General features: G+C 43.6%; 1 long non-coding RNA gene across 2 annotated transcripts in view; it reads left to right on the top strand.

Moving 5' to 3' along the window:
* Window positions 1–10,977, top strand: part of LOC105371623 (uncharacterized) — a 48,000-nt gene that overhangs the window by 16,532 nt on the left and 20,491 nt on the right. The window lies entirely within an intron of this gene.

Raw genomic sequence — 10,977 nt, forward strand, 5'->3', positions numbered from 1 at the left:
TTACCATATTCACCTTTTTAAGGGCCTTCTCTCCAAATATAATCACATTCTGAGGTCCTTGGAGTTAGAATTTCAACATATGAATTTTGAGGAAATGAAATTTAGCCCATAATATGGGTTAAATATGTTTAATGAAAATTTAGCATCCAAATTGACATGGGCTGCAATCATAAATTATAAACCAGAATTTGAAGATATAGCGATGAGAAAAAGAATCTAAAATACCCCCCCACCCCACCCACTTTTTGAGACGGGTATAGATCTTGCCATGTTGCCCAGGCTGGCCTCAAACTCCCGGGCTCAAGTGATTCTCCCGCCTTAGCCTCCCAGGTAGCTGGGACTACAGGTGCATGTAAAAAATCTTTTTGATAAAATTCTTTTATATTGATTACATGTTGAAAAAATAGTATTTTGGATATATTGACTAAATATATTATTAAATCTACTTTACCTGTTTCTTTTTTAAGTGTGGCTACTAGAAAGTTTAGAATCCTATCTGTGGCTCACATTCTATTTCTATTGGCCAGCACTACTCTACAATGTAGCCTCACATTTTACCCAGCTAATCACATTTCCTGCTGCTCTATTCCAGTCTCTCTGTACCAGCTTCACTGGTGCGCCTAGAACTCTGAGGTCTTTGCACTTGCTGTTCTTTCTGTCTGGAACACTTCAGCTCCAGATGTCCCTGTGACTTGCTCCCCGCCTTCTTGGGACGTTATTCAAACATTGTGACACCTCTGATTGACTTTCACACATATGTATATATATATGCATATATATATACACACACATATGTATATGTATATACACACACACACATATATATATATTTACTGAAGCATAGTGAGGTCATAGGGAAGTGGAAAAGGGAAGGGGTGAAAGTCAGTTGGAGGTGTCACAACTGTGGGAGACCCTCTGAGAAACTAGGTAGAGCACATCTCAGAACTGTCTTGCTCAGGAGCAAGGAAGCTGGGGTATATCCATCACCTGCTTTCTCGAATTATTTGAGAATCACTCCTAGGGACAGTCATTCCATAACGTTTCCATAGAAAAACATTGAAGCTTGAGGTGAAATTCCATTGGCATAAATGAGAACTACCCACAAAAGCTACAGGTGACCTGGGGTAGAGCTAACAGTCTCTGCTCTACTCCTTTGCCCCCAACACTCCCCATCCTCTGAGACCAACCGAACTGTGTCCTCCAAAATTCACATGTTGAAATCCTAACTCCCAATGTGACTGTACTTGGAGACAAGATCTTTAAGGAGATCATTAAGGTTAAATGAAGTCCTAAGGTTGGAGCCCTGATCCAGTAGGATTCATGTCCTTATAAGAAGATACACCAGAACACTCGCTCTGTCCACCTGCACAGAGAAAGGCCACGTGAGCACACAGCAAGAAGGCAGTCGTCTGCAAGCCAGGAAGAGAGAAACAGAATTTGCTGGTACCTTCATCTTGTGCTTCCAGTCTCCAGAACAGTGAGAGAATACATTTCTGTTGCTTAAGCCACTGCTGTTTACGGTATTTTTTATGGCAGCTCTAGCAGACTAATCCGCTCTCTGTGTTTATTTATTTACCTTCTGAGGTTTACCACCATCTCACATAGTATTTATTGTACTAGTTTATTTCATTTGTTTGTTTTCTTCATCCACTATTGTATAGAGTCTGTGAGGACAGATATTTTTGTCTCTTTTGTCGTCTGCTATTTCACCAGTGCATAGAAGAATGCCTGGAGTGTATTTGTTGAATGAACAAATGAATTCATGCCTGTAGCTTCCATTGTGGTCAGTATCTTATTGATATTATGAAATATTAAGGACCACCTACATAATTTGTGGGGGCCCGGTGCAAAATAAAAATGTGGGAGTTTCTTGATCAAAAACTTCAAGTGCTGACAACAAAGTGTTAAATCACACATGGGACATTTCTAGCATAAGGCCCTCTGTGACTGTGCAGGTCACAAGCCCATGAAGTTGGCCATGTATGTGATCCCCAGGTATCTCTGGCTTGGGCCACTCCTTTGAATTTTAGTCCTACACATGCAGCTGCCAGTCTCTTTTGCCTGGATATCTGAAGGCATCTCTAGCTGATGCTCCAAATGGAGTTCCTGTTTTTGGCTCTCACCCAGTGTCTCTTCCTTAGCTGGGCAGCCACCACCTACCCAGTCAGGCTGTCCAGAGTTCTATACACCATCATTATAACTTCCTCATCCACATGTTTGGTTCTGTCCATTTAATTCCTAAATATCTCTTGAGGATATATATTTTCCCAGCTCTACTAAAACCACCTGAGTTCAACTTATCCTAATTTCTCATCTGAACCATTCCTGATTTCCCCCCAAATCTTGTGTACCCCTTCACCATTTACACAATAGCCACAGCCAACTCTCTTAAATGCAAACATGATCATCTCACTCTCCTGCTTGGGCACCTCCGATGGCTTCCCACCACTATTTTTTTTTGTTTGTTTGTTTGAGATGGAGTCTCACTCTGTCGTCAGGCTGGAATGCAGTGGTGCAATCTCAGCTCACTGCAACCTTCGCCTCCCGGGTTCAAGCAATTCCTGTGCCTCAGCCTCCTGAGTAGCTGGGATTACAGGTGTGTGCCCCCATGCCTGGCTAATTTTTTGTATTTTAGTACAGACAGGGTTTCACCATGTTGGCCAGGGTGGTCTCGATCTCCTGACCTTGTGATCCACCTGCCTCGGCCTCCCAAAGTGCTTGGATTACAGGCATGAGCCATCGTGCCCAGCCCCACCACTCTTATAATCGATGAAGATTCAAGCATGGCTTGCAGGGCCCTGTCTGATTAGGTCCTGCCGTCCTTCCCAGCTGCACCTGTGTTACCCATCCCCACCCATCTGTGCTTCAGCCACTCTGGTTCTTCATCATGGCCTGCTCCTCACCTTCACTTGGAAAGGCAGTTATTCTTTATACCATTTTACAGATAAGGACACTGAGCTTCAAAGTGACAAAAGGACTTACCCCAGGGCACACAACCAGTAAGAGGCAGAGTGTGTTCTGGAATCTTTATTGAATGAATGAATGCTTGCATGCATGAATGAACAAGTGAATGGTACAGTAAACAAAGGCCCTAGGTCAGGAGTACTTAGGTGGCTCAGTGGAGATGCATTGAAGGACATGGTCACCTGTTAGGACCTGCCAGGGCTCTCTTCGGCAGTGTGTGCCTTACTATGTGTGAGGAGGTGCTGTCTTGCTTTCAGTGTGTAAATATCATGCCTTGATGGAGAAACTGCAGCAGAGAGGCCCCGCTGCCCCAGCACATCTGTCACAGCCCACACAACACCTCCAGAGTGAGAGCAACAAATTCAACGAACTGCCAAGTTGTCTGTACCACCTGGGTGCAAGCAGGAGTGAGTGTGAATGTGATAGTTTCTGTTCCTTTTCTTTTTATAGGTTGGGAGCTGGGAGAGGTGAATGATTTTCAAGGTGGCTATGAGCCTTTTGCTCTTTTATATTGCCAGGCAGAATCAGGGCTAGGATGTGACAGGCTGTTCCCCCAATCCCAGGCCGCCGGGGTGAGGCTGGGGGACAGAGAGTTCCCAGCTCCTAGCTCACAGTCAGTGGGGTGGAGTGGGGGACCTTCTCTGATAGCCCACACTTCTGTCAGTGGGAAGTTTTGGATTTGTTCTAAGGGGCAGAAGCAGATATTCCTTCCTATGTGGGGCTATTGTGCAAAGTTTGGGGGCAAAGCCGGGTGGAGAAATGTGGGTATTTAGAATAATGGCTGCCTTTTCAAATGAAAACTCTTTAAACATTTGTTTCATATCTATGTAGAACTGGGGCTAAGACTGTAGTTACAAGGGGGATATGAGGAAGGTGCTGATGGCAGTGCTCTGCCTCTCTGTCCCTTGGGTCCCAGGCAGCCCACTCAACACAACAGAAATCCACAATCCTTAGGAGCTACTCAAAAGCCCCCTCCTAGAAGTTATCATCTATACTAGTAAAGCATGCCCTTTGCTGGGCTAACTCGAGAACCCAGCAGGCCTCTCAACTAGTGTCGTGGTCTCCTGGGAAGAGTTTTGAAAAATACAAGGGCTCATAGTGAGGTGCCCTCAACCCACACATCTGAAGGATTGCCATTAACTACCTGTTTGTAATGGCTGCTGAGGGCCTGGGGCAGCACAGGTGGTGGAGGAATGGACCGGAACCTGACTACTGTCCTTAGAGAGCTTGTGGCTCTGAAACATACCGGGCTGGCTTTTGCACACAGCCTGGTCTTCTTCACCATTCTTCCCCAGCAGAGTCGTTGTGGGGCTGGCCTCAGATGTGGAGGTTTTGTCCCACTCCTGCGTCCTCTGTTCCCTTCGGCTCCAACCCCACCCTTGTCCCCTTTCTGCTCTCAGGTGTCTATCAGCTGACCCTTGATAGCAGGTTGATGCTCTTATTTTGCCCAGAGCATTTCTTTAAGGCAATAAGTTGTTTTGGAGAACCAGGTGAGTGAAATTTCAGGCCATAACACTGTTATGAAGATAATAAGGCTGCTTTTCAACACCTTTTAACTTCTACCAAGTTAACACATTCTCAAGTTGTAAGAACATCTGCTGTAAAGCATTTTTCTGCCCATTTTATAGTTTGCCCTTCACAATAGTCTGTGAAGTAGGAAGGACATTATTCTTAATCCCATTTTACAGATATACGGACACTAAGCTCCTGAGTGACAGAAGGACTTATCCTAGGGCACACTACCAGTAAGAGGCAGAAAGAGGTTGACTACTGATATGGTGTGACTCTGTATCTGCACCCAAATCTTACCTTGAATTGTAATCCTCATCATCCCCACGTGTAAAGGGCAGAACCAGGTGGAGGTAATTGGATCACGGGGGAGTCTCCCTCATGCTGTTTTTGTGATAGTGAGTGAGTTCTCACAAGATCGGATGGTTTTATGTCTAGCATTTCCTTTGCTTTCACTCACTCTGTCCTTCCGCCCTGTGAAGAAGGTGCTTGCTTCTCCTTTGCCTTCCATCATGATCGTAAGTTTCCTGAGGCCTCCCTAGCAATGCGGAACTGAGTCAATTAAACCTGTTTCCTTTATAAATTACCCAGTCTCAGGTATTTCCTCATAGCAGTGTGAGAACAAACTTATGCAACTATATAGGTCTTTTGACGTCAAATACAATGTTCTTTCCTCTGCTCCTCAGATAATCTTAATATTTGCTCTTCTTGAATATTTTATGGATCTGTCCTAAATTTTACAGTACTAAAAGCTGTTAATTGAGTTTCTTTCATAGACGGAAGATACGGTTGATTCAATTCAGTTTACATCAATTCTATACTGAGTCCAAAGAGAGTTCTGGGCTAAATACTGGAAATAGAAATGGAAAGCCAAGGCTCTTCCCTTAAAGAGTTCACAGATGATGGGAATTCTCTTCTCACCGGTGCTTTCCCAATTGCTTCCCAATCCTCTCCAGCCCTTTGGAAAGAAAATAAACCCTTTACTCCGCCAAGCTGGAGGTCTTTCCTCCTCAGGGTGTTTTTGTCTTGGAAGAGAAATAAATGGTTCTGCAAATCTGGTAGTGGGTTGCAGCCAGGCTCTAATAGGAGAGACCTGTTTGGGGATGCTTCACTGGCTCTCGATCTGAAAGAAGACCCTGTGATAAACAGGATCATGACGGAGAGCAGCATACCTCCTTTAGCACCAAGAGGTGAACTTCGAATTGTCCTTCTTTGCTGTGAGCTCTGTGGTAAGGTCCACCCTTGCAGGAAGGGACTTTATCAGCGTTTCTTGAGAGACTGAACTGATCTGTCTGTCTGGCCAAGAGAAGTAGATGTGAGGACCATTGATGCCAGTCACATTCACATGTTGACCCGATCCCAGGTGACCTTCACAACTAACATGCCATTACAGAGACCTACTGTGGTGACTACATTTGTTTAAAACAAAACTGGACCATGTAGCCCAACAGTCATGGCCAGGACAATTGGAAAGAAAAATCAGCATTGAAACATCTCTGAAAAAGCTAGAGGTGAACATCTGCCCCCACCCTCCCCTGCCCCTAGTCGCTTCCTTTCTGTGTACTGGATTTCTTATCTGGGAGGATGAATTGGGTAAAGGGGTTTAGCTGAGGGTGTTTTCCTCTGCCACAAGCTGAGACTACAGCTGGTTAGCCCTTTGCTTTCCCTAACATCATGGAACACTCCCTTAGGCATGCGACTTAGATATTCACATTCTCCTGGGGAGCTTGGGTGGTGATACTGCCCTTCCTTGCTCTGTTGACTGCAATCCTGGACCTGAATATCATTCTTAGGTAGAATTGTGGCACAAAATCTTCTCTTCCTTCTATCTTTAGTGCCTAATTACCCTGTATTTCTTTCTTCTTAAGAAACCTTTAGGACATATGAGATTGTGAGGTATTTGGGGATCTTAAACAATCGATACCATTTATTATTGTCCATCAGGTGAAGCAACAGAGCCAAAGGTCTAATTTACAAGTGACTCTTGGTTTGAAATCTAAATGATTCCTAGGGAGCCATGACAAACTGAACCATTGTAAGACAAACTCTCATTTTCTGTAAGTGTCATTTTATCAATTCCACTTTCTACCTTGGAATCTAATCTCATACCACAAAAATACCCAGAGTAATTCCGACAAAATGAAACTAAAATAAAACACAGATATAAGCTTTTCAAACATTTATAAACTATATAAAGACAAATTCAATAGAAAAGCTATAACAATGTTCCATTTGGGCGATCCTTTTGTCTTTTGGGCTGAAATGAACCAGCCTGAAGCTTTTTGAAATTTGCTTCCATGAAGTCTGGATTGAAGTTATCTCTTCTTTCTGTGATAAATCTCCCTGTAACAGTGGCTCTCAACTGAGGGTGATTTTTTTTCCCCCAGAGGACATTTGGCAATGTCTGGAGACATTTTTGGTTGTTACAACATGGTGGGAGGCGGGGGTCCTACTGGAATTTAGTGGGTAAAAGCACAGGGCAGGTCCCTAAAACAAAGAATTATCTGACCAAAATGTCAATAGTACTGCTGTATTGAAACACTGCTTTGTAGCGTGGACATTTCAAACCGAGTTAACATTAGGTCATTTCGTTGAAAGATAAAACCAGATTTATGTGAATATGTCTCAATTTCTTTAAATGGTACTGGTTGGGGGTTGGGGAGGATAGGAGGGCAGGCCGTTCCACATTGACTTCTTTAATCATCTCTTGCTTTTCCAAGTCAATAAATCAACTGGGTTACCTTTAATTGCAACCCAGGTTGTTATTGTTGTTGCCAATCGTTTCAGTGTAGCTTTGGTTGTAAATACAAGCTTTGGTTATTACTTTGTGGTTTTTATTTGTGGGGGGAGAAATCATAAACAGTGAGTGGGCTCACAAATCAAGCCAGGTATTACCGGCATGCAGGCATAATATATGCGTTCCTCAGTTTTCATTGTTTATCTTGGATCTTTAAATTTCCTGTACAGCTAGCATACTGAATTTTCATAATTGCTACTGCATTTCTTATAATTTACACATATTTGCCAGAAACCTCTGAAGAGCTTGTTGTTTGTCATGAAGAGCACAGCTGTGAATGAATGCCTAGCAGTGATCTCTGATGATAGCAATTTTTATTTAAAGCATTAAAGGGCATCAACATCTAAAAGTTGATCCATACCTTCCACTGGCCCCTGGCCCCTGCCCCCGGGGAAAATTCTACAGTAATCAGTTTCTTTTTAGAAGGTTCTGTCAACTTTTTGGATTCAAGAGCCTCCTTAATTGCCACTTTTCTTAGTGTTAGAAGTGTTTGAAATGTGTCTGAGTTTTAAAAAAATATTGTCAGTGTTGAAATGACAACGCTCATCTAATTAACTGAGTTTTTTCACTGTGTATCTCTTTCCATTTTCTCATGAACACATAAACATAAGTTTGGAAATTTTACTTTATTCTATTTTAAAAACTTTGAAGCAAGGAGCCTTACATATGTGTGAAATATCTGAATAAGAGAGTAGGGAGTTTGGTAAAAACTGGTGGAAAAGGAAAGAGTCAAAAAGAGAATAAATGTCTGGCCGTCGGGCCATGGATTGCTGAATCTCTTTCTAGAGAATGACTTCCCCACCAGCAGGAACGTCTCTGGGAAAGGAACCACATCTGGTTTGTTTACTGCCTTGCAACTGTGTGATGGTTTATTTTATGTGTCAACTTGACTGCACCACAGGGTGCCCCGATTAAACATTATTTCTGGGTGTGTCTGCAAAGGTGTTTTTGGATGAGATTGGCATTTGAATTGGAGCACTGAGTAAAGTAGATTGCTCTGCCTAATGTGAGTGGGCATCGTCCAATCCATTGAGGACCTGAATAGAACAAAAAGGCTGAGGATAGAGGAATTTGCCTTTTGTTTTCTTTCTGCCCACCTATTAAGCTGAAATGTTGTCCTTCTTTAATGATTTGAGTGGGATTTACAACAGTGGCTTTTCTAATTCTCAGGCCTTTGGAATTGGACTGAATTGTACGACCAGGTGTCTTGAGTCTGTGGCTTGCAGACAGCAGACTGTGGGACTTCTTAGTCTCCATAATCACATAAGTCATTTCCTCATAAGTCTCTCTCTCTCTCTCTCTCTCTCTCTCACACACACACACACACACACACACACACACACACACACACACACGCAAACATAATGTAAATCCCCTATTGGTTCTGTTTCTCTGGAGAATCCTGACTGATACATACTGGTATTAAAGTTTAAATAAAAGAATTTTTTTTAACTGTGAAAAAGAGAGAGACAGAGAGAGACCAAATCTCTTCTGGGAGAAGCAGAGGGTGTGCAGGCCTTTCATCTTTTTGTATATCCAGAATCAGTATTGGATCTGGTATATAGTAGGTAACTATTGAATGTGGATGGTGAGATGAGTGAAGAGGAACAAGAGACTCGTTTATGTGTAGCTTTACAAGTCCAACGCATACTCTTTTTATAATTATTTGAAAGACTGGGCAATGGGGAATATTGTACATGTCACATGAGTGGAAAGATACAGGCCCAGAGGGCCCTAATTTGTGGTGATGTCTTATTGCTGACTGGCAAAGGGGTCACTGCTAAAGCACACATCCCCAGGGACACTGGGGGTATTACGGGCAAGAAGATGCTACTGGGTAATTGCACTGATTACTAATGTTGCTAACATTTCTCTTGCTTAATAATCCACTTTTAATATTACCCCTGGCAGTTCTTCGTTCCCATAACACAACAATAATTAAATTTGTGTTCAGTTGGTTGTAAATGCACCCAGAGGTCTTAAGCAATGGGTGAATTATACCCATTTAAGTTAGAACATAATGCTAGCATTCAGCAACCTCAGGAATAAATACTAATTACTAAAGTTCCTTTAAGTTTCACTGTATCACATTAGTTTCCATTTTCATTTTCAAGACAACGTACAGGACAAATGACAGGTTTTTATCTCAATATTACAGCAGTCACTCCTCCAGTCCCATAATCCTGAGCTATAGGTTTCCAGAATGGCTTATTTAAAACAGGACCAGGAAATGTGGCTGTTTTTAAAGGGCCACCTTGGTCTGACATTCCAGAATTTTTTTTTTTTTTAGGAAATGAGGAGAAAAAGAGGAAATGCGGCACAGGGCAAGGGCTAGGAAAGGTGCTTTGCCTGCTCTGTTTGCGAGGGTGCCTTCTATGGTAGATGGCCATGTGGCTGGAGTTTTGTCCCTGTTTTACACATGGCCCCAGGGGTGTGAAGAAGCCTGCTGGTGTCAAGCCTTTTTAAAAATTTATTTCCAGGGTTGGGATTCTGTTCCTTCTTTAAAGCACTCATTATTTCTCCCTTTTAACATGGAAGATGGAGAAAGGTCTCTCCTTTGTGGTCTTGGGTCTTCACAATGCCCAGTCTGTTCCTGGCTCTGTTATTGAACTTCAAGCAAACATGAGTACTAAACCACACCTGGCCCCGTTCCAGCAGGCTCTGCCGTTTCATGCCCCCGACCCTGGTTCATGAGGCTCCCTCCCACCTCTTTTTTTTCCCTTGGATAATTTCTGTTGTCATACTACCTCCCCCAGACAGGCTCCTAATATCCCCCTGCCCACTCCAGCATGGGAGAGCATGTCTGGGTTTGCGGTGCTTACCCTACACCGTTACTCAGTTATCTCTGCACTTCCTGACTGCCTGTGCTCCTGGAACTGGACTGGAAGAAGCTCCCATCACGACTCTCTTTTTGGGGCTGTTCCCTGACTGGGGTCTTACTTAATGTAACCCAGTGGTGAGAGTTGATCTTATATTATGCACTGGGTCCATTTTTAAGGGACAGAAAGGGAAAAGGTTTTTCCAAGTGACCAAAGCTGAGAGGCAGTGGCTAATGGTGCATTAGCTGGAGCTGCTCCCAGGCAGAGCAACAGAACCTGGCAGTGGAGGAGCTGACGGAGTGGAGGGCAGGCTGGCTCAGCACACCGGGCCTGTCAAATGTTCTCTGGCAGTACCCACAGATGGCACTAGAGCCTTGGGGATCAGACCACCCCTGGGCACTTCAGGGTTGAGGGAGCCAGGAGACGAGACTGGAAGGAGGTAGGCAGTGAGTCACCGTCTCTGTGGCTGATCAAGGACTCAAAACTGTACAAAAGGCCTGTCTGGTAATGCTAGGGCAGCAGAGACCACCACCCGTTGGTGACCTTTTCTGATGGTAAAAGCAAAGGGTGAGATGAAATTGGTGTTTTTACCTGAAAAGGCTGTTAAAGGTTAAAATGACAAAATAAAATTCAGAGGGTTTGGAGGATTTGGTGTTTACGATTCCTCAAAGTGGGTGGAAGGTAGGGAAGAAAGAGAAAGGAAGAGAGAGAGAAAGATGCAAAGAGAGAGAGAAAGATGCAAAGAGAGGAGAGAAGCAGGAGAGTAGAAGAGAGGAGAGAAGCAGGAGAGTAGAAAAGAGGAGAGAAGAAGGAGGGAAGAATGAGGAAGGGGGCTGAGATATTTAGGATATAATGAAAGCACAGAAACAGGGCGGACAAGGGGCATAG

Source organism: Homo sapiens, chromosome 1 (assembly GCF_000001405.40).
Source record: "Homo sapiens chromosome 1, GRCh38.p14 Primary Assembly".
NCBI lineage: Eukaryota > Metazoa > Chordata > Mammalia > Primates > Hominidae > Homo > Homo sapiens.